Genomic DNA, 25,537 nt, shown 5'->3' with positions numbered 1-25,537 from the left:
AGTCTCTGATGTTGCAGCCTAAATTTCAACTTATTTAAACACTTGTTATTTTATATAATGAAGTGCCCTCCTCAACAGCTTTACAATTTTTGACAGGTATTGAAAGCATTTTAATATTTAATGTGTATTAGTCTTTCCTTATCATTGTTTAACTAAATGATAATAACTTAGAAAGGATACAATATGCCTATCATGTAGGCATTAAAATTCTAGAGTTTTAAAAATGTAAGGCACCTGAGTAATTACATGTTCTTTCTCACTTCCATATGGGGCACAAACTAACCAGATAAATATTTTCTTCATTCCAAAAACACATCAGAAAATGAAATTTAAAATATGCTTCCAATAATACATTTCTTTTTTAAATTTTATTATTATTATACTTTAAGTTTTAGGGTACATGTGCACAATGTGCAGGCTAGTTACATATGACTCCAATAATACATTTCATGCTCTTGTGTGGTCTAACTTAAGAACCATTTGCAGTTTCTAATTGCATCAAAATTTTTAACATACTTCTGGAAAACCAGTCAGTGATATCCTGTTAATTTCTGTCACGGCATCTTTCCATTAAACAATTGTGTCACCAAGATAAAAAACAATTTAAAAGATTTCAGAACCCTCATCCAAAAGTGCTAAGTATTATTTGAAATAATATTGTTCATTTTTGTAAAGTAATGATTTCCTAACAATGCATAAAGATATAAAATTTTCCAATCTAAAATGCTTCATGCATTGTTATTCTCTCAATTTGATTTTACAAGCTTGGAATTTTAAAAAATTCAGTCAATCACTGCTATGGTTGAATATGTGTGTCCCCTCCACCCCACTCCAAATTCATATACTGAAACCTAATCTCCAATGCAATAGTATTAAATAGAGTCTTTAGGAGGTGATTAGCTTATGAGGGCAGAACCCTCATGAATAGGATTAGTGCCCTTATAAAAGAGCCCAGGGGATCTTGTTTGGCCCTTTCATCATGTGGGAGAAAATGGAGACGGTGCCATCTCTGAAGCAAAGAGCAAGCCTTTGTCTAATTAACTCTGCCGGCACCTTAATCTCAGACTTCCCAGGCCTCCAAACTGTAAAAAATATATTTCTGTTGTTTATAAATTACCCAGTCTAAGGTATTTTGTTATAGCCCATCTGAAAGGACTAGGACAGTCACCATATAAACATATAAGTGGTATCTCTAAATAGAACTGTGATAGGAATACAAGCATCTGGGTTAGTAAAGAATTTGAGCAAACTGGAAAACCAGTCTTACCTGAAATGTGTTAAATGTCTCTGGATGTCAAGGTCTAGAATTGGAGTGGGTCTGGAGGATCCCAGTGGTGATCTATCTTGGCTCAAGAGGTCTTGGAATTCTTTACAGATTTGTCTAAAATAAAAGAATCAAATTTAAAATTGAAATTTTCAAATTGAGCTTTAATTTCATCCCATGATATTTAACCAAAGGCTTGTTCTCTCTTTTAAAAGAAGTCTAGATAACATTTCATAAAGCAACCTCAAAAGTTCCATTCATAGCATACAGTTGAGTTTCATAATGGTGACTTTGCTCTCAACGGCTATAGGATAATCATACAACATTTCAAACAAATAACAATCCATGAGCACTGATAAGACCAATGTTTATTTTTAAGATGACTATTCATAAATTAACCTCAGGATAAGGGGAACCCCATATGAAATGATCACTATGATCTTTTTAATTGAAATGTGATTTTTTAAGACATAATATCTGTAAACAAATTTAATTAAAGTTACAGTCTTACTTCAGAGCCATTATTCAAACAGACTTTGGAAAATCCTTTTTTCCCAATATTGCATTAGAGTTCATATTCTTATGAGCTAACTTTATATGCTAATATTTGAAGCAGATAATCACCAGTAATTTAGTTCACTAGCCTCACAAAAAATGGTTATATTATGTTCCATGTAAGCCAATTTCTTGCAAAAATTACCCTCAAGGTAACTTTTCTGCTGCATTTCTTTGCTTTAAATGGTTATGGTTTTTGGTCATTGGTTTCAGTTTAATTACAGTGTTACAATGTAACAGTAAAGACTTTGTGATGTACACTCCAAATGATATAATTCTAAAGAAGCAGAATACACTATACAAAGAGATATTGTTTTTGTTTTTGTATTTTAACAACAAAACACTAAATTAGTCCAGTCTCTGAAAAGTAAAGGATTGCCAAAGAATTGCTTAAAAACATCCATCATCTAAAGTGAGGTGACTCCATAAATCAAGGGATAATATGACAGTAATTAGGTTTTTTGTCTGTTTTTACAATGGGCAGTCGCAAAAATGTAATAATGTAGCCCTGACTTTGATTATCAATGTAAACAAAGACAGGTATAGAAGTGTCAAATTATTTCAAGTGAATATGAACCCGGCCATTATTCTGCTGCAAGGCATTTGTGTCATCAACAAATGACTACCAAAAAGTGACAAAATATCTTGAAGTACAAATAATTGATCACTGAGTTAAAAATCAGTGGGGACTTCTTAATCAGGTATCTAAAATTTATTGAATTCCATCAAAGATCACTTATGATATTTTAAATGAACAATGAGGGTCTGGTTTAATGCCAGTGTTCAAATATTGTGTCATTTCACAGAAATTGCCTTATTCATGTTTGCAGAACACAGGTGAAAGTAAAAAGGAGTCAGAGATAGGAAAAACAAAGTCCTTATCTGCTTCAGTGAAATAAGATACTTCACATCCCCTTCCTAAAGGGCCAGTTGGATCTCTGAGATACAGCATCTGAATACATGCTTTTAACAACTGTGTGTTTCTACTTTCATTCAGACAGTTTCTTCTGAACTCCTCACATTTTCTGTTGTGAGACTCAGTTGCTTTATGAAATATACCTGTTTTCAGGTGTATTGCCCATATTTTAATCAATGAATGCAACTTAATCTAAGTGTTTGGTGCCATTTTGAGGAGTATATCATAATCTTTTGTGCTTTGTGTTATTTAATATAGATTTGTTGTCTTTGTTTATGGAAATTTCTAACTAAAATTTTAAATTTAGCCTCATGCTATCATTTCCAAATTACTGTATGGTAGGTCATCATTACGATCCATTCTTACAAAGAAAGATTGGTGTTGTTTTTAGACTTTTGTTTTTAGCAGTCTTTTAGTTTTTCTATCAGATTAAAATAAATTTTAAAACATTAAAATAAAGATTGAAACATTAGTTATTGTGGCATAATATCAGAATTAATTGGATAATGGAATAAACTTTTAAGTTGACAAATCAACTTTGTTCCTGTATGAATAATACAGCAAGTTATAATAAAATTGACGAAGAAATTAGAGAAAGCTAAAGAGGTGGAAAAATTTAACTCATGCTAAATAATTCACACAGGAGGATCTACCAGGAGTAATATTATATTATATTATATCTCCCCCTTTTATATTTAATTCTACAGCTTAACTCACTCACTTTCAAGCTTAGACTTGAAAACAGATGACAATCCTGTAGATTCCCTGTAGGCAATTATCATCATCATCTCATTATGGCACTTACAGAATTATGATTTTATGACTACTTTCCTTCTTATTTAATTTTTTATTTATAAATCTACAAAAAGAAACAATCTTACATCTCAAGGCAAAATGTCATATTATGAATTATGTAACACAAGATGATCTTCAGTGAATCATACATTCTAACTTTATCACTTACATCATTGTCCTTAAGGACGTAAGTTTTTAGCTGATGTCTGAAATCCAAATTCTATGTTTCACCCTTAGATGATTAACAGTATGGTAACACTAAAAGTTGTTAACTATTCTGCTTTACCTTAATGCAGATCAAATGTTAGACATATTTAGTTCTAAATTCAATCAAAAGGTTTAAATATGTTTTCTATTAACCAAATAAACACGTTTTGTCTGATTCATTTTTAGAATTCAAAAAATGTTTCAGTTTCTATTCTTTCGCCTAAATAAATGTCTAAATTACACAAAATATTTAATCAACAAAACACTGGAAATAAGGTGGCATGAGAAGACTAATGACACTTAATTAATAGGCCCTTTATACAATTGTATACTTGGCAATATACTTAAAGACAACTGAATCTGTAATCCATGGAGGTAAAAAAGAAATATGTAGGCCAATCTGACAATGTAGATTAGCAATTGGATCTCTCATTCAATAAATTTTAGATTTCATATATATTTTTTATAATGTTGTCCAAGTCTTATGAATAAAGGTGAACTGACCAGGATGTAATGAATATCCATATAGGCTACTTAATATTAACTTTTACCATTTTAATTGATGAAAATACCTCATGCTTTACCATTGGTGTAAAATTAGAAACTTCTCAGAACACATGTTGGGTCCATTCATATGTTGCACAAAAAGGGTATTATTTCCACACATTCCCTAGTTTATCTAGTTATAGTGATTACTGGTTATATTACGTATGTTTGCTATGACTGGAGTCTCTGATTTTTATTTCACATAGTCCAATAAGAAGATAGGATGCATATAAGTAACAAAAATAAAAAATTATAAAGCTGTATTATAATTTTCAGGTGTTTATTCCTATTTACTCTTCTGTAAGATAAGTTAATTGAAATGAGTGGATTCAATTCTTGCTTGACATTTAATGGTCTGCAAATGTGCAGCTATGAGCAGACAGATAAAATAAAATTACATGTTCTCACAATGTTTAATGAAATCAAAGTTCAAAATATCACCTAAAATAATGTATGTTACTTAGATCCCAGGTAAAAGGAAAATACTACTACCTGGTCAAATACGCTACCCGAAAATAGATGTCTCAGTATAATTTTGACAAATATGGATGCATTTCTTCTAGCATTTCTCCCGCAAATTCTTCTAGCATTTACTTCTATTAAAACACAATCTCGGTGCCAATTTGAATGTGCTTGGAGACTGCTGCACACTTCAACAGAATGATGGGAATCTCCAAGAAAATAGGAATTGTATTTATTGCATTGATGATGGTAGTGGTGAATACTTCCAAAACCATTCCTGGGGGAAGGAGGACAAGATGAAGTGTTTCTCTGGATTAAGGAGTGAAGGTCTTTGAATATGCATGATAAAACCACAACCAAGTCATTTTGATGTAGGAAAAATGAAGGTGCTTTCTCTTGGAAATTTGTATTTTGGGACAACAGTAAAATTCACATGGATATGTGCATTGGTAAACCTGCATGATCCTGCCAGCTAGGATGATATGCTATGGAAACACCTGGGAGATATTACCTAAATTCTAGTACTGTATAATTCTCTTGATCTGTAACAAGTCTTTATCTTTCTCCTACGGTAATGCAAAGGATTCAAACTAACTATATGTGCTTTCAGCTCCTTTTGGAGAAACTGAAATATGACTGAAATTATTTGGAAAAAAAATTTAGTCAATAAGTTATTTGGAAAAGGAAATGAGTACATGGTAAAGATAAAGACTCCCAGAAGACAAAATATGCAAAAGGTTCAGATTTAGGTCTTTTCTACTAGCAAGTTTTCAGGGGCTTCCACTTCACAAAATTTATTCCCAGATTTTAAGTCCAACTTTTATACCTGCCTTATAAGTTTCTTTCTCTATCTCTTGATCTTCATACTCTCTTTCTGCTATTCCCTTCCTCTTAATCTTGTTTTGCTTTTTCTCTATTCCTTCTGCCACCAACTTTTGCTTTTCTTCTCTTTGGGACAAGATGAGATAATCTAGTACTTTCAGAACAGCAATAGATAAATATAATCCTAAGTCCAAACAGTGCCAGCCACAGCAAGTGTGTAAACTTCAATTAAGGGACTCAAGTGTCTTGGACAAACCTGTGAGATGGCAAGTATCCCATATACTCCTTAAATTTGTAAAAAGTCCTATGTTACATAAGAAGCTGGTAGAAAAGAGAATATTTAGTTTTGGTTTTATGCATTTTGAGCCAATTTAAATCTCAGCCAGTATGTTGTAAAGGCATTAAATAATTACTTGTTATCAGTTTCTAAGAAGTGATGTTTTTAATACTCTCTGCCCTAGATTTTCTCTTAAAAAGTTTTCCCTAAGGCTGGGCATAGTGGCTGATGCCTGTAATCCTAGCCCTTTGGGAGGCCAAGGAGTGCAGATTGCTTGAACCCAGGAGTTTGAGACCAGCCTGGGCAACATGGCAAAAATGCATCTTTATAAAAAATACAAAAACCAGGTGGGTGTGCTGGCTCATGCCTGTAGTCTCAGCTACTCGGGAGGCTGAGGTGGGAGGATCACATGAACCTGGGGAGGGTGAGTCTGTAGTGAGCCATGATCGCACCACTGTACTCCAGTCTGGGTGACAGAGTGAGACTCTGTCTCAAACAAACAAACAAACAAACAAACAAAATACTTTTCCCTGAATAAAAAATTAGTTCATAAATGACAGTTTAACCAGCTGAAACTATCAGTTCTAAAATCTTAATATAGAATTAAAAATTATTTAAGATTCTTAATGGCCTATATGTATCAATAACTTATTTCAATAATGAGAGGATAACAAGAATTGGTTACTACCAGAAGGATTTTCCTCTAAAACTTTTGAACGTAACCTGCAGTGCTATCTGCGGTTCTGCTGGATTTTTACACAATAAATGGTAGTATTCCCACTAATTATCGACGAACTTTCAAGTGTCAAGGAATTTATAAGTCATCTTATGCAAGCTTCCCCCTTTCCTATTGTATTGTCAAATTTGTCTACATCGTTTTCCTCATTATTTTAATTTGCATTTTAATTGGGCTTTTTACAATTTCCAGAAGCTTTGAAATACATTATACCTTAAAAAAAAAAGACAATAACACTATGAGGCAGTACAAGGATGATTTACTTACTCATACACAAGAGAGGATGGGGACACTCATGGTGATCCTTGGTCCCAGAGGTCTCCCTGGTACCTCTCACCAACGTGTGACCTCATCTTCTGTCACATTCCCCAAACATTTATGGTGTTTTGAGATTTTACCCTCATTTATTAAGGCAAAATGAGTGCCTTAGACCAAATTACATAGCAACCAAAGACATATTTGCCTGGGATCTACATTTCCTAAACATGTTTTTCTCCAAGGGATTTCTGCATATTCTGGAGAAGTTTTCCAAGAACTTTCATCAGTTTCAATGACAGCCTTATCACTAATCAAGGGCAGTTTGTAAACCTTGCCTGGGCACCAAAGGGTAGAAAGTCCTTGTTTAATATATCTAGCTGCTTGTGTGTGAGACCTTCCTTGTTTTAGAGAACGGGTGCCTTCTAGACTGTTTTCCTCATTTCAAAGAAAATGAAAAAAAAATACTGAAGATGAAAGCACACAGAGGTTTCCCCATTCTGCTTACTTGGTCGCCAGGATCATCTTTTTTCTTGCTGTCTGTTCTTTCTGTTCCATATGTTGTCTGGCAAGATGTTCTCCTACTGCTTTGGCTGGAAACTCTGTTTCACAAGTGTAGCCAAAATCCCGAGCCAAGTGCAAAGCCTCCCCTGTTGGCAGATAACACAAGTGAGTTTCTCACCAGTATCCAACCTTAATAACAGTAGTGTCTTGCATTTTGCTCAAGCCTCACTCCTGGCTGTGGTCAGACAAATCATTTTTCCTACTTAAACTATTCAAGAAAAAAGACCTTTTTGGGGGGAGGAGGGGAGGTAATGAGGAAGAATGAGGGGAAATTGAGGAACAGAGAAGTGACTTAGCAGGCAGGGATAGGTGGAAAATTGAGGGGAAAAAAACAGAAACACAATCCAGAAGTGTTGATTCCCCTCATGGCTCTGGCCATTAGACCAGACTGACTTCCTAGGTTTTACACATGATTCCCAAGCAAAATGGCCCCATGGACAAGTCATTTTGTGGCTGCTGAGCCTACAACCTATTCTTAGTGTGTCTAAACTATTCAGATGTTTTTTCCATGAGACCTATTAAAATACCTGCGAAGGGTCCATATAACTTTTCGAGGAAGTCGGAGAACTTTGGAAAATCATGAATAACTTTGTTCTTTCACAAAATCCTAAACCCAAGTAAATTTTTAAGAAATGGGGTACGAATGGCTTCCCAGCAAAGTAAAATTAAGTGATGAAAATCAATCTGGAAAACAATGTTATTTTTAAAGCTCAGTCAAGGCAAATCTTACCTGTCCACTAAACTTTTATTTAAAAAATCAAGTTTTCTAAACAAATGTAGTACATATATACCATGGAACACTATGCAGCCAGAAACAGAATGAGATCATGTTCTTTGCAAAAGTAGCTGGAGGCCATTATCCTAAGTAAACTACCACAGGAACAGAAAACCGAATACTGCATGTTCTTACTTATAAGTGGGAGCTTAACAATGAGAACACATGGACACAAAGAGAGGAACAACAGACACTGGGACCTACTTGAGGGTAAAAAGTAGGAGGGTGGAGAGAATCAGAAAAAATATCTATTGTGTAGTATGCTTATTACCTGGGTGATGAAATAATCTGTACACCAAACCCCCATGACACAGTTTACCTATATTAAAACCTGCACATGCACCCCTGAACCTAAAAGTTAAAAATAAAATCAAGTTTGTACTGTGTATCTGTTAATACTAAGCATCTACTCACCTACCTTATTCAAGGCACAGTGCTAGGTAGAAGTAATGGGGACTATAAAAGAGTACCAAAGATTGCCTGTCTCCAGGAAAATGATAGTCATAACAATAATAGTAGCAACAACAACAAGTATCTTAGTAGCACTTTGTAATTTTTATTGCACCTATATGAATATTACCTATAATCTTTTCATGTTTGTTGTTATTATGGTGACAGTATATAATACAAGATATTATATTACAAGTACCAGGAAAAAATGAAATAGCTGATAATATGAAGAAAAGGGAGGGAAAGTTTATAGATATACAAAATATACAAAAGAGAACAGTTAATATCAATGAAAATATCCTTAGTAAAGATGCTAGCACTTTGGGAGGCAGAAGCGGGAGAACCCCTTGAGCCCAGGAGTTCAAGACCAGCCTGGGCAACATAGAAAGACCCCATCATCTCTACAAAAATTTAAAAATTAGTCAGATGTGGTGGTGCATGCCTGCAGTCCCTAGCCACTCAGGAGTCTGAGGCCGGAGGATTGCTTGACACCATGAAGTTGAGACTGTAGTGAGCCGTAATTACACTACTGCACTCCAGCCTGCGTGACAGAGTAAGACTCTGTCTCCAAACAAAACAAAACAAAACAAAACAAAACAAAACAAAACAAAATATACTATTTTTTTCATTCTCACAAGGTGAGACCTCCTGTTCTAGGCCTTAGCAAAAAAGTCTAGTTTAATATAAAAGGTATTGCAATAAGCAAACATATTAGTGCGGTTAATGTTTTGTAAATTCTGATCATGCCCCTCTCCACACATATTTCACATGAGCAATGGCACGTCTTTAGTTGCAATTTTAATATCTGTGTGGTGGAAAACATCATTGTTTTTTCTTCTATTTTAAATAGAGAGATGATGTAACTAAATGGAAGGGATCTCTATATTAATCTGAATAGTGCTAGTTTAATGGGGGGTCACAGTTTAAGGTAAGAAAATATGTGAATATTTGGCAGAAGAAATGGCACAAAGATGTGTGTGTGTGTGTGTGTGTGTGTGTGTGTGTGTGTGTGTTTTAAAGTCGTTGTTATGCCATACAGGACACTCACTATTGCTTGAAAAATGATAGAAGGGAGATTATTTGAGAAGTTTCAAATTTGGAAGTAAAAATGTTTTAAACCTTGACCCATCAAATAATGCTACAGCACCTGACCAGAGGATAAACTCATGTGGACCTTAGGCTTCAAAAGTATCTTGTAACTAACAGGATAATACCATCAGTGGCATCATCTTTGTACAGCAAGTCAAGTTACATGTATTAATATAGCTGCACATTGTTATTGTTCACACCAAAACAGATATTTAAATAACATTTTAACAGAGTCTATCTATCTATCATCTATCTATCTATCTATCTATCTATCTATCTATCTATCTATCTATCTATCTATCTATGTGTGTCTGTCTATGTGTCCATCCACCCATCCATCCATCCATCCATCCAATCCTTTTTCTTTACTGTTTGCACAATAGTGGGAGAGGTAAAACAGGGCAAACAGGAGGATGGCAGCACGCCTCTTGAATTTTGTGCTAAAACCTGATTCCTGCGGATCTGTCCCATTTTATGCAAAGCTCTCACCGTGTGGCAGTTTTAAAAACAGTTTGAGTGGGACAGCTGCTATTTACATTTACACTGACAGCCAGATCCTTCCTTCCCTCAGTTCTGTTTACTGCTTTCTCCTGCTTGTGATATAACATTGTTACAGGATGTATAGCAATGCTACATTAAAAGAAGTGGCAAGTGAAGACACTCTGATATGTAGTTAAAATGTGTATATCATGCCACAGAAGCTTTGTGTGTGAGGGCCCAAAAATGAATGAATAAATGCATCCATTAATTAAAATACACATGGTATTCAGAAACAATGACAAATCTATAGTTAAGTCCTTTACAACAGATGTCTTAGTCAACAGGTTTAAGAAAACTAGACATTTTACAGTCAGAAAAGCATATTAACATGACTGTAAGGAGTTTGACTGATTTGGGAAAATAAAAATCCATGAGCTCCTCTGCCTCTGTGGTGGCACAAAATGTCTATATGAACAATGAACTGAAGTGCAAGAACCTGTGGTGGAAAGAGCAATCCAGGAAAGCCCCAGGATGTTTTCCGTTTGATTTCCAAACAGCAAGTATGGCTGCCATCACCTCACTCCTGGGAGAGAAGTAGAACACCCTTGTTCTTGTTCTTTTTTTTTTTTTTCAGAGCTACTTTAAGCTATCCCTTTATTTCAATGTATTGCAGCACTTGGCCATGCACCTTTTTTTTTTAATTTAATACAACTGAAGCAACACACTAAAGTTGAAATACCTTCATTTTATTCCATATCATTTCAATAATTACATATTTTAGAAGTAGGATAGAATGGTATTTCTGTCTTTAGGTCTTAGGCCAGCATCCTTAGCAAACTAACACAGGAACAGAAAATCAAATACCACATGTCCTCACTTATAAGTGGAGGCTAAATGATGAGAACACATGGACACATAGAAAGGAGCAACACATACAGGGGTCTTCTGGAGGGTGGAGAGTGGGAGGAGAGAGATCGGGAAAAATAACCAATGGGTACTAGCCTTAATACCTGGGTGATGAAATAACTGGCACAACCACCACCCACAACACAAATTTATCTATGTAACAAACTTGCATTTGTACCCCTGAACTTAAAATAAAAGTTTAAAAAAAGAAGTAGGGTACATGGGTGTGTAGGTGGATCAGGTTGGTGCTTGGAGAAAAGTATTCCAAGAGCAAGGCTTTAGGCTGTATGTGCCACGTAGTAACCCCACCTACTAAAAAAGTGAAAACCATGAAGGATATTCATCTTTTCAATAGTAATACTTATATTAAATACTTATATTAAATACTTATATTAAATACAGATATTTAATACTTATATTAAACATATCTCTTAAAAAGCAGGCACAAATAAATTTCAGAACATAGCAAGAACGTAAAAGATAAATTTGCTCGTTGATTTTAGAGAATTCATTTTTCCACACTCCAAAGCAAAAAGTAAAAAATTAGGAAGAAATATTAGGAAAAATTTAAGTGACATTCATTGATGTTGCTCTGAAATAGAAAGTTAATGGCAAAATGTTTTTTAAGGAAAAACTGCACATTGTGCCAAGATCCTGAGTTTTATAAGAAGCAGGTTTAAATGCATTTTAACAATAAAAATAAATATACCTGACTTTCAATCTGTTATACAGTCATTAAGAATTTTTCTTTCTTTAGGCCGGGTGTGGTGGCTCATGCCTGTAATCCCAGCACTTTGGGAGGCCAAGCCCAGTGGATCACGAGGTCAGGAGTTTAAGACCAGCCTGGCCAAGATGGTGAAACCCCATCTCTATTAAAAATACAAAAAAAATATTTAGCTGGGTGTGGTGGCGGGCACCTGCAATCCTAGCTACTCAGAAGGCTGAGGCAGAGAATTGCTTGAACTCGGGAGGCGGAAGTTGCAGTGAGCTGAGACTGTGCCACTACACTCCAGCCTGGGCGACAAAGTGAGACTACATCTCAAAACAAACAAACAAACAAACAAACAAAATTCTTTCTTTAAAATTATGGTATTTTTTAAAAAAATTACTTTACACAACTAAAAAATTAATATTTAACACTAATTTTTACTAAGCAGTACTTGTACATTGTTATTCAATAGATAATTCTCATCAACTGTCACTCTAACAATATTGCCTTAAAAACAATTGAGTTTAACTTAGTGTTGCAAAACCCAATGTTATTAAATGAAAATAACAATTTGTATGTGTTAAACTCCAGTCATATATTTATGATTTGAATTTTATTTTCACATATAGGGAAATAGCACATTCAATTCTATGGGATTATTCCAAGAACTATCTATTAGAAAGCAAATTTGCGAATTAAGTAAATTCTTATACTATCAAGCTTTAGCAAACCCTGGAGCTGAAGCACAAAGTAAGTATATCTGATGCCCTGACTTACAGATTTCCCAGACTCTTCGGAAAGGAATGCATTCTACAGCTCTATACATCATACGATCTATGGCCTGGAGAGGTGCCTTATAATATAGTAGTTTTACTAGTTTGATGTTGCTTTTGTCAAACACCAACACTTTGTGTTTCAAAGTGAAAGTTTCATTCCCCATTCAATATCCTGCACTTAGCACAGCATCTGATTCACAATAGGTACTCAGTAGACATTTGTTAAATGAAAAAGCTTTCAGATTATGTTAACAGTATGTTAATTATGACAATAGTCTTGTGAAGCATCCCCTCCTAGAATATAGGGAAGAACTAGAGCAAAAGAGACTTGTTAGAAAGAATTAAATATATACAGAAAAACCTATGAAAAATAGAAAAATAGAGTATATCCCTCTATCAGTGGAGCCATTTAATAAAATAGACTATACTTGAAGGCAGGCTTTCTCAACCCTTGCTACTCCCATAACCTAGAAATTTGCTTTAAAAAATGTTTTTCACCAATAGCAAAGACTTGGAACCAATCCAAATGTCCATCAATGATAGACTGGATTAAAAAAATGTGGCACATATACACCATGGAATACTATGCAGCCATAAAAAAGGATGAGTTCATGTCCTTTGTAGGGACATGGATGTAGCTGGAAACCATCATTCTGAGCAAACTATCCCAAGGACAGAAAACCAAACACCACATGTTCTCACTCATAGGTGGGAATTGAACAATGAGAACACTTGGACACAGGGTGGGGAACATCACACATTGGGGCCTGTCGTGGGGTGGGGGTAGGGGAGAGGGATAGCATTAGGAGATATACCTAATGTAAATGACGAGTTAATGGGTGCAGCACACCAACATGGCACATGTATACATATGTAACAAACCTGCATGTTGTGCACATGTACCCTAGAACTTAAAGTATCATAGAAAAAAAAGTGTTTCACCCCGTATCAATTAATCTCTGGTGCCAGGGCATCTGCAGTTTTTGAATGCTCCTAAAGTAATTCTCTCAAACCAGAGTTGAGAAACCACTGTCCTAAGATAAAGAGAAAGCAGTAGGTGAGGATGAACTGCACATCTTCCAAAAATGTAAGGATTCTATGACTTATACAAAAGGGAAAGCAGCCACTAGCGAGTTAATATGAAACTATAAGAGCCTCTATCTGGCTGGATTCTTGCATGATGAGATCTCCCTTATTTGGCTAATATGGTATGAACTCTATAGACAAAAGAGAAAATGTGGTAGTAGAAGTAGAGATAGCATTGTTAGGGAAACAAAGACTTCAGCCTATTGGAAAAGCATATTTGTTAAGGGTGATTTAATATAAGATGAAGCTTGCACTTAAAGTTAGTAGGGAAAAGGTGGATTATCAATAGAAAATGTTAAGCCAACAAGGTGGCCACCTGGAAAAAAACAAATAAAACTGGATCTGTAGCATACATTTGGCCATGAAACAAAAGTCCAGATGGATCATAGATTTAAACATAGAAAAATGAAACCACATAGTAATTAGAAGATAACATGGTATTTTTTATGATCTTGGAATTAAAAAGGCCTTGTACAGTGTTGCAATTAAAACTAAAAGCCATGAAATAAAATGTGAAAATATAATTATATTAATGTAAAAAAGTTCTGCATGCAAAGACCTCAATAAACAAAGCAAATAAACAAAAACCCATAACAGCCAACTGAAAAATGAAAGTAAGTCATATGAAAGACATACTAACATTTAATAAGCCAATTTTCCTAATAGAGACTGAAAACTTACAAATCAATAACGAAAGTACAAATATTACTCCATAAATACAAAATAAGTAAATAGAAAAGCTCATAAAAGTCCAAGAATATTCTGAATCTCCTTCATAATAGAGGGTTTTTTTAGTCAATCAAATAAGCAATGATAAAAAAATTGATAGCCTCCTGTTTAATTTAGAGTACAGGAAAGTACTATAATGTCAATGCTTCTTACCCTCATTGCTAATAGGATTATAAATTTGCAACCACTATTAAGGAGAATCTGCCAATAATCAATCAAAACTATAAATGCAAATCATTTTTTGACCCTGCAACGCCATTCCTAGACATTTATTGAAGATATGTACTTGCATATCTGTGGAACTATTTATATAAGTTTGAGGTTCTTCATTGAACCACTATTTGTAATAGCCAAAGACTGAAAACACCTAAATGATATTCAGAAGAGGACTGGTTAAATAAATTGTAATAAATTCATTCAGTGAAATACCACGACTTTTTAAAAGAACAAACAACTTGTAAGCACTGAAAAAAAAGAATGAACACTAAGACAAACTCAAAAAATTGATTGCAAAATAGTATCTACAGAATGCTATAATTTGTTTTAAAAATGAATAAAAGAGATACACACATATATCCTTGGAAGGAAAAAGATCAACTAATAACATTTGTTTTCTTCTGGGAGGGGAACTGAATGACTGGGGAACAGAGTGAAAAGGAAGTATTTTACTGAATACTTTTCTGTAACTTTTGAATCCTGAACTATTTGTTTGTATTATTTATTTAAACTTATATTAATCAATCAAAAAGTAAAATTACTCTTTGCCTTATTCTTAGATTTAATTCTGAACTCAAATGTTTATTGTAGATGGAACGTGGGTAATTCCAAGTTTTCCATTGTTATTCAATAAAAGTTAGACATCACTAAGAATAATTACAGCCTGCAATTTGATTAAAATACCTACAAATTTCAATAAATGTAAGCAATGGGGGCCACAGCTCTTTCCTATAATCTAGCCTTTGGGAGGCCAAGGCGGAAGGGTCACTTGAGCCAGGCCAACCTGGGCAAAAAAGTGAGATCCCCATCTCCACCAAAAAATCAAAAATTAGCCAAGCATGGTGGCATGTGTCTGTGGTCTCAGCTACTCAGGAGGCTGAGGCAGGAAGACCCCTTGAGTCTAGGAGGTAGAGGCTGTAGTGAGCTGTGTTCATGCCACTACACTCCAGTCTGGACAACGGAGCTCTTAAGACTGTCTCTAAAAACAAAACAAAACAAAAAACAAAAAAAGGAATAAAGCATTAGTTGATCCATTAAGTTTTGAAAGGAAGAATCATAGAAAAAAGAAAAGAAAGACACTAAGAAGAGAATTCAAACGTTATTTTTAGTGAGCATCACTATGTGCAAGAGAGAATAATGAGCTAGATCAAAGGTGGCAAGGGAAAAACTGAGGCAAATTGGTTTGGCTATATTTGTCTTTATGTGGCACAGTCACCATGAGTAGGAACAGGAGTTTATGGACACCCAAGCACATAGTCAAACACAGTGACGTATATATAGTATCCTATTCCTTCTGCCTCTACATGCAAATACCATCCCCACCACACAGAAATGAATGAAATCTTAAAATGCAGCCCTGGGGAGTGATATTAGAAAGCTTGCAAATAATTTTAAAAGATATACTCTAATATGGTATATATTTATCCATAATATTGTGTGATACTATTTTAGGTTCATTGAAACCAATTTTTGAATACTGATAAATGTTAAGTTTTTAGATAATAGATAACAATAAGTTTTATCTAATTACCAATTACTGAAGCAGAGTCTCCTAGATAGAAATTATTCTGTGCTTAGAATAAGACATTTATGAATGATACGAAACCTAATAGTCTAAAAACTATGCAAAACTGTCTCCAAGAAGACACTGTGAGTGCCAGAATGTGTGTATGTAAAAGGGAACAGCAGAGCTTTTCCAGGTGAGACTGTCTGACTAAAGTGAACATCAACTAGAGCTATTAATACAAGAGGTCAACGCACTACACTTTTCATATCAAATATACTTTTAGAAGAAAGCTGAAAACCTTTCTCCCAAAGGTGGGACTAATGTGGGAAAGTAATGTCTGGAGAAGGCCAGTGAAGGAGCTATTTGGGAAATGAGGTCCATGAGTTGCTCAAGTTTCATATGACTTTTAGTTTCATATGTCACCACCACCACCCAAAAAAAGCCCATTGTTGGTACCTGTGTAAGAGCAATGAGAATATTAGCTTTGTTCTAAACTCTATGAGAAGAATGACTTACAATGAGCATTCCCTAAACAGATGTTATCCCTAATAATTGGCAAAATGATTCCGGTTTTCAAGCCTACAAGTCTCATGCAGTCAATGATACTTCTTTCCAAAGTCACAGAATAATCACATCAAGAAAACTTTCTTAGTAGACCTTATCTATAGGAAAGAGTTCATTGACAAATCGGTTGTTTTCCCTTGTTTCTTGGGAATGCAATAATTTAGGCTCAAGATTAAAGGTAGAAGGGAAATACCACCAAGTGGTAGGATTTCTTTCTACTGCCTTTTGGAAGTTTGGCCAGAGTGGAATAAAAAGGTTTTGTAGGGGAATCTTGTAACTAATAACTTAATGAACTGGCATCCTTTAAAAAGTACAATGGATACTATTGATAATTATTCCAGAAGAGATTAAACCAAGATTTAATGTCCCCCTAACTTTGAGGGATTAAGTAGAAGCAGAAGGTTCATCAGGTTTTAAAAACCCTGTACTAGTGAACAAAGTTTTTGAAGCTTGGACATAAGAAAGTTCAAGAAACTTGTTCAGGGTTCCTAGCAGGAGGGGAGGACCAATCTAACGTGAAAAACAGGCTCAAAGATTGGTAACCCTTTTTCTATCCGTGAGTTTTACTTTAGTTAAATTCAGAAGTAACTCAGCAATGAAACTGTTCATGATATATGCCACAAACACAAATCCAAATGGAAAATATGCCATGATGCTGCAAACCAGAAGATCTGGGTTCTCATCCTTGCTGCACCCAATTGTATAATCCTGTGCATAACAGCTATTCTCACTTTGCTTTTAGTTTTCTCATTTGAGAATAATGACTTTATTCTGGGCACTATGGTAAGTGCTTTGCAAACATTCTGATTTAACCCTTGCAACAATCTTATGTGAAGGGTGTTATTTTTTAACACCACCTTATAAATAAGGACACTTATGCTCAGACAAGTTATGTGTCTTCCCTTACAGCAAGTGTAGAAGTGAGTTCAGACAAGTTTGACTCCAGAAACCACACATTAGGATACATGTACTAATTTTTATTTAGTGGCTCTATGAGGGGCCTATTGTGCAAATGTTTAATCTATGTGAATATAGTTAATCCTGCAAAAGAAACATAGGTCAGATGTTGTGGGTAGATATGGGTGCCAGACCATAAAATTTTTATCTTTTCTTTATATATGATAGAGTTGTTTCGGAGAAGACTCTGCCAAGCTAGAGATTACATTTTCTAGCATATCCCACTGTCATCCTCACAATAAGGTGTGGTCACGTGATTAGTTCTTATAGAATGAGAATAGTAGTAACTGGGTAATTTTCTGGCTAGAGTGGATAAGAAGCAGTATACTTCCACCATTATGCCTTTCCTTATCTGTGAGCTAAATGAATAGGATTCCTAAGACTTAGGCAGAGTAAGCTATGGATGGAAGAATTCTGGGTCCCTGGGTCTGCGAATGAGACACTGACAATAAAAAAGTCCCTGATAATGAACATTCACATCAGACTGCGATGAGTGAGAAATTAGCTTCTATTATGTTAAGCCAAAGACATTTTGGGAACTGTTATAACAGCTGGCATTATCCTCATCATTATAGATATGATGGTCTTTATTTATGAATTAGGAAAATGAAGCTCAGCTAGGTTAAGTAACCAGTCCAAAGTCAGGCCCTACTTCAAAAATGATATTATTCTGAGGGTAAGAGGTGGTGGGAGGAGTACCAGGCAAAGGGTTAATAGATTTTGCAAGTGGCACAAAACAACTAATTTACATGAGCTAAGATGTCCAAGATAGGGTCTGAGAGTATATATTTTGAAATGAAAGACAAGAGCAACAGTTACTAAGGATTTAAACTGAGAAAGATTGATGGAGATCATACACAATATTTGGAACTGGTTCCCTTTCTTTTGCTGATACATATTTATACCCTCCATTGTCCCACACTGTTTAAACACACACACACACACACACACACACACACACATACACAGAAAGAGAGACAGAGAGAGAGAATTTGATCTTCTATCATAACAAATTTCAGCTCAAGGTATTTATATTTACGAGCTTAAATAATCTATACTTTCAGAACCCTGAGTGTTGGCTGAGAAGGTTACACAAGCTTTTGCAAATGCAGCAAAACTGTCCCAGGAAGCACACCACTCAGGCAGACAGAATTCCCTTCTGGTAATACTCTGCGATGTCATTCATCTTGGAACTTCCTAGATAAGAAGGGAGTGATATGCAGGAAGGACAAGGTCATTGACTCCTTGTATTTATTTGAATAACCACCAACTCTGCAAACATACTTCTGAAGTAAAATATGGAGGAGGCATCCACAGAAGTTGCCAATTCAAGAATAATAAACATATAACAAGGGTGTTAAAACTAGAATTATGATATTAGTCAAATTCCTTGAATGTTTTCTAGAGAGAATAGTTTCCACTCTAGAAGAGAATTATTTCCACTCTAGAAGAGTATAAAATTATTCCAACATCTCTTCAAGAAGATCAGTTAAGCAAATCCAAGCCACTGTATTTTTCAGAGACTGACATCTTTCTGATATTGTAGATACTAGAATGGATGAGAGCAATGTAATTAGCAAAGGAAAATGGAAAGAAGAGACTTGTAATAAAACAGCATACAAGGAGTTATATCTAATTATTACCTATAGATTTAAACCACTTAGATGAAGACATATGAGTTGAAAAAGAAATTAAATGTGGTATTGCTTTCGTGGGACTCAATTCAAATATTTCTATCTCATTCAAAATTAAACAATCTATGTTATGTAGACCCCCCAAAATCCCCAGTCTAAATATCTGCCTTACTAAAATGTTCACTTTTCAAACAACTTTATCAGGTGGAAAAACATTCAGTTAGTCTAAAGTTCTTCATCCTATTAGTTCGTAGGTACAATAATATTTGTAACAGAAAAGTTGTGAATTATTGGAATATAGTATAAATTTGCATCAAATAACCCTATCTTATACATCCCTAAAATGATTTCTAAGAATAATGGCTCTAATATGTGGATTTGAAAACAAAGCTAGGAGCTATTCATACAGTGACTCCATTTAAAAGGAATATAGGAAAAATGATTTTTAAAATAATTTTTTAAAAGTAAAAACCAAAGGCAAGCATAGAAACCTAGGGATATGCTAATGAAACCTGTTATGTCAGTAACAAGTGTTGTTTGTGAAAAACAAATGTTCATTTGCTAATTTGAATCCCCATCATAAGGCACTTATGTTCATTGATTGGCTCTTCACAAAGATTACATCATCTCTGTGTGGAAAGCCTTCCAGGGTCCCCACACACTATTCCTTCATTGGTAGTCTATGAAAATATCAACAATGGCAAGGCTGTATTCAAATCTTCCCCACAAAGAGGCAGAGTCAAGTACTGCAAAGTCGTAGAAGTTTAACCTTCATGAGATTTATTTCTAAGTCTGCTCTGTGAGGAATACAATCAATTAGATATTTTTTTCTCCTATGCTCAATATTATGCCAAAATGTGGGGGTATGATTGAACCCCAGTAATGTATTGGGCCATTAGGATGTTTGAGAAACTACTCATCTGGTCATAGCTAGACTACTCTATAACAATTTCAGCAACAGTTTCTAGAGATAGTTGAGAAAAGTTAAGTTACTAACTGTTGGTAATTAAAATGCACATATAAGTTAATATAGAAAATCCAGAAGATAAAGGAGAGATTTCAGTTTAAAAATGATGAAAGAAATATTCGTATTCTTTCCCACAAGACCATAGAAAGACCATATAAGAAAGCCAATGGCCTGTTTTAGATACTAAAAATCTAGTTTTTGAATTTTTGAAAATAAAAATGTCTAAAAAGTTTCTGGCTCTTGCAAAAATATTTGATTGAGGGAGAAAACATTACTCAAAAACACGGTCAATCCAAGAATTTATAAACAAGAAATAGTAAGTATGGTGAAATTCATACAGGAGTAAAACTGTAGAAATGGAACAAACATTAGACCCATGTTGGATCAAGTTGCCAAAAATGCTGATAAACATCAATGATTTCAATGTCCCAGGAGGTTTGATGAATCAGAGTTGGGTTACTATTATTCTGTATACACCTAATACCATCTGCAGAGTTCCAGGGGCCATGATCTAATTCAGAACATGGCATCTTGCTGGCTGGAAAGGAGTCATCAGCTGTTACCACCAACCCAACTGAAATATGGGGATAAAAATATAAAAGAGAGTCATCAACAATGAAGTCACTCTTCATGTCAGCTCAGGGTTATAATGAAGCCTATTTCAATGTAGATATAATGTCCTTGTATGTCAAAGATTATGTTCTCCTCATACCCCAATATAACTTGTAATTTTTAAAACTGTAGGTCATGACTCATGACTCGACAGTGAGTTGTGAAATAAATGTAGTGGGTTTACAAGGAACATTAAAAGAAACAAAATATGGAATCAAATTAAAATGTCAGAGAATATTGTACATAGTACTAAAACTTCAATGTGTGTGTGTGTGTGTGTGTGTGTATGAAAGTGGGTTTGAGGGTCTTACTATGTCAAGAGCGGAAGGGCGCAAAAGATCTCTTTGACTCTAAATCTGTTTTCTAAGGTTTCATCAATGTGCCTGGAATTCAATAGTGAAAGATTTATTTCTCTACATCCTGAAGATACTGGGGATTTCAAAAGCACACAATTAAGATAAGATGCTCCTCAAAAGGATAAAATCTTGTTTCATTAGCCAAGGCTGATAGCTATCTCTGAGCAGAGGCCACAGGAATAGAATACAAGTCGGGCACTTTTGGGATAGGAGAGGTATGCAGAAAGAGTAGGATGGCAAGACTCCAGAGATCATCCTAGGATTCCACATATTTGACCTGCACCCTTGAAGCTAGTACAGATTGATAATTCCCATGCAGGATATCCCAGTGCTCTTGGCTACCATAAAAATCAGTAAGAATTGTGAACATAGTTTTTGTGGGTCTTCCGTTAGTACTGACCAGTACTTTCATAGACAGCTTGGAGAAAAGTCTTTACTGGGATTGATAATTTTCACACCAATTAGAAATTTCATGAGCATTCATACACAATCATCCCGGGTGGTGAAAAGGGTTCCAAGGAACAATTAAATCAATGATATTTAAACACCACTATACATCAGAATCACCTGGGGAGCTTTAAAAACTTTAGATGCCTAAGCCATCACCCCAGAATGAGTTTCAGTTGATTTGGGAATGAGACCTAGGCACTTTGTAAGAAATCTTTTCAATTGACTCTTCTGTGGAGTTGGGTTTGAGAACTACTCGAGTCCTACCACCCATATGATTCTTGAATCCCCTCTATTATCCTGAGCAACTGTTTTGTTATATTTTTAAACAATGATAACTATAATTTTAACCCACATTTTTACTTAAAATGTGCAGAAATCTGTCTCCCTTTGGAATCAATCCATTAGTCATTTTTTTTTCTACTTTGCTCTTCCCCAATGTGGGTGTATGATAGGTTAAAGCCATCTACCATATGCCAGCCTTTAGTACCAGCACACGCAGGCAAACACAACACAAGACCTAGAACATGGTAATAGTAACACAGTAAATGTCAGTTGTCAGTGTTATTGTTGTGGTTGTTATTATTGTGACTACTATCAGGGAACACAGCAAAGATGGCTGTTAAGAGCAAAATCACCAAAGCAATTCTGCCAAGACAAATGTCAAGAACACACTACTTCTCAGTGTTGTACAATAAATGCTACGTATTGAAAATCTGAAAAAAAGTATAGATGTTTGGTTTTGTGCTTCATTCACTACTTCCTACAGTGCCATATAGACAAATAATGGATGTATGAAGTAACACAGGTGTGTTCAAGGTGAGGCTTGGCAAAAGGCCCCTGCCTTTTATATTTTAAACAATAGCATTCCACATGATGAAAAAACTTTCCTTTGACATTCAAAAAGTTCCCCACAATGTTAAAAAAAAAGCCTTTCAATAATAACTCTCCTTAAAAGAAGACTGAATAAGAATATGTAAAGTTTAGACCTTAATAGGAGAAAAAAAGGAAAGAGGTAAGTTGGAAATAAAACAACTTCTGGGAATATATTCATTTCCATTTCTCTTTCTATACTACTGGTTAACCTTAACCTCTCTCTGACTGAGCTGAGCTTATCCACCCATACAGCCTTGAAAGTTCACCATGTCTTTAGAGAGGTCTACTAGGATTAATACAATATGCTTTCAGGCTCAGTATCATGCCTAGACCCCTGTGAACTCTTCATAAAGGGTTATTTCTCCTGTAGATCATGTTGTACTGAATTACAATGGGTTAAGTTAGATTCACTTAAACTCTGAAATAAACAATAATGCAAATGACAAGAGCGCTGCCAATTTCATGTTGCTGTTATTTAGAGGCTATTTGGAGAAGTACCCAAAACCTCCATTGTCTTATTTCCTATTACTACCAAGATTAGTAAATTAAATGATATTTTATGAATTATCTAAATCTTAAGTCTAATTTAATCATCATTGTCAAGATAATTTAGGAAATTTACCTTAACTGTTAACTGACTTGCTTAATGGTACAGACAAAAATAAAACAGCATAATTTAAGAAACCTGAGTTTCAAAGACACGCCAACCTTCCAGCATTATTTTGCTAAACTGAAAAGTCATACCTTCAACCAAGGAAGTAAGGAGGGTGACATTAGCTGCTTTCCGTCTTCCTGCTGGTAAGTTTAAGCCAAGCCTATCCAATTTCTCTCTCAGGCAGCGGCCCCCATTCTTTGATTTTGCTCTGTACAAAAACAAACAAAAACTAGGTTTTGAAATTTCACATTCTGATGAAAATTATGAGACGACTTGACCACATGGGGAATACACTATCAGATGGAAGACATCATGACTAAGGGTTGAGGGTATGGTATCAGTTAGCAGAAATTCTGTGCCAGAATATAGCTTTGTCTTACCTTCTCAAAATGCCTCCCAAGAGTGAAGCATTGAGGCACTCAGGTGGGGAGAGGCGCCTCTTTACCTCAGCAATGGTCACCTTGTATTTGGAAGTAGAACTAAGAAGGGACAAACGGCCAGGGACAGAGCAAAATAAGTCTGTGGGGTTGACCACACAGGTGCCACCTTGGGAGAAAAAAAGTATATAACATGTTAGTGACAGTGAAAGAAGCTAACTGCATGAGAGGCAGTTAACATCAAAAGACTATTCTGGATTTGGGAATACATGCTAACAGTTGTACTTATATATCCCCCAGATCATCGCAGGGAGCTGCTCTAAATGTTCTTTCAAATACTACTCAGGGTCATGTCTTTTCAATGTTTGTGAAAATGTCTGTGAGTGTACAATTGTTAGAAACATTGGCATCCTACGGAGTGTAGACTGACTCACCAGTGCTAATTTTGGCAACATCCACACTAAGAAACACTTCAATTAATCAAAAACCTGAATTCCAATAGTTAAGCTCACAAAGACTAGGTATTACTTATACATGGTTGTATGTTTATGTACACACACAGATGCACAATGTACACAATGGATGGAAATGTTTTATCCACAATTACTGTCTTTTCCAAAGTGTTTGAAAACTGCCATCTTTTCCTCATCCATCTGCCAATTAAAGGCAAAACAGTCACTCAATCCCAGGCACTGCTAAAAACCAGTTACTCATTGAAAGAAATTTCTAATCCATACAGGTGATGATAGGTTAAATACCTCTATTGTATGCCAGCCCTCAATATCAGCACAAGACCCAGAACATAGTAATCATAATACTTATTAAATGTTAGCTGACAATAATATTGTTTTTATAATTGTCATTGTAAATGTAAATTGTAAATGTCATTGTCATTATTACTATTAGGGAGCAAAACAAAGATAATTGTCAGTAGCAAAATCACCAAGGCAATATTGCCATGCTGGGGTTCCTGGAACAGAAGCTTTCTGTCTCCAAGCTCCAGAAAGCCCCCTGAGCTTCAATCTCCTCCAGGAACAACAGTGTATGTTCCCTATCCTCAGGCAGTCGACAATAACTGAAGAGGACTTGACGATCCAAAGGTGATCATCTCTGAGAAGCATTTCCCACTGTCCAATTCCTCCCCCACTGCAAGACTTTGGAGCCAATGTCCACCCTGCTAGCATGGTGACTATACAGTTCCGGGATCCAAAACCGCCTAATGCATTGAGCAATCTAAAGGCAGAGTTTTTAAGGGTCCGAGGCAAATTCAAAGTTGGCTTTTTTGATCATGTATTTTGTTTCTTCAGCTAGGGTCAATCTTACAACCCATATCCAGAAAAGGGACAAGTTCTATGAGAGAAAAGAGGTTTTAAAAAAGTAGATGGGAGAAGAAAAATGGGCAGAAGAGTGTTGTCTAAAATATTTTTACTTTGTAACTTGTTAGAAGCATAAAATCTCAGACCCACCTCCAAACTTTTTGAGTCAGAATCTGCATTTTAATGAGAGCCTCAGATGATTCACATGGTCATTAAAGTTTGAGAAGCACTGAACTAGGACTTACCACTTGCCTCCCAGGTATCTCCTACCCTTAACTAGCACATATGGAATATTATACCGGTGGTAGAAATTCTGGCATTCAGATTCTGGTATTTTCCCTGGGCTGGGTTGCAAAAGAACCTGGGAGGACATTTAAAAAGGCAAAGGGATCCCAAACCTGAGGAGACAGAAAAAGTTAACCTTGCCCCACTCTTAAAACATTTCTACCCCTGTACCTTCTGGAATTCTTCCTGACTGTCTTTTGGTCACCCAAGTTTTCCTTGCAAGTGCTGGAGACCAAGATCTTTCTCCCTAAGCATTCTAAAGTCCCTCCAAAAAACAACAAACCAACAAAAACCAGAAGAGTAATCAGTGGGAATGTCAGGGTAGCCAACCATCTTCAGGCTAGAAGTTAGGTCCTGTGCACTCTGCCA

The 25,537-nt window shown here is 35.4% G+C and overlaps 1 protein-coding gene across 1 annotated transcript in view; it reads right to left on the bottom strand.

Annotated features, from left to right (window-relative positions):
* Positions 1-25,537, bottom strand: part of TFAP2D (transcription factor AP-2 delta) — a 59,508-nt gene that overhangs the window by 20,442 nt on the left and 13,529 nt on the right. Inside the window, exons 4-7 of the mRNA NM_172238.4 lie at positions 23,571-23,736; positions 23,280-23,398; positions 7,344-7,485; positions 1,268-1,381 (exon numbers count right to left, since the gene is read on the bottom strand). Of these exons, the coding sequence (NP_758438.2) occupies positions 1,268-1,381; positions 7,344-7,485; positions 23,280-23,398; positions 23,571-23,736 (541 nt within the window). The remainder of the gene's footprint in view (positions 1-1,267; positions 1,382-7,343; positions 7,486-23,279; positions 23,399-23,570; positions 23,737-25,537) is intronic.

This window comes from Homo sapiens, chromosome 6, assembly GCF_000001405.40.
Source record: "Homo sapiens chromosome 6, GRCh38.p14 Primary Assembly".
Classification (NCBI taxonomy): domain Eukaryota; kingdom Metazoa; phylum Chordata; class Mammalia; order Primates; family Hominidae; genus Homo; species Homo sapiens.
Note: the sequence above shows the minus strand (reverse complement) of the source record. Positions and strands in the feature narration are given on the sequence as shown.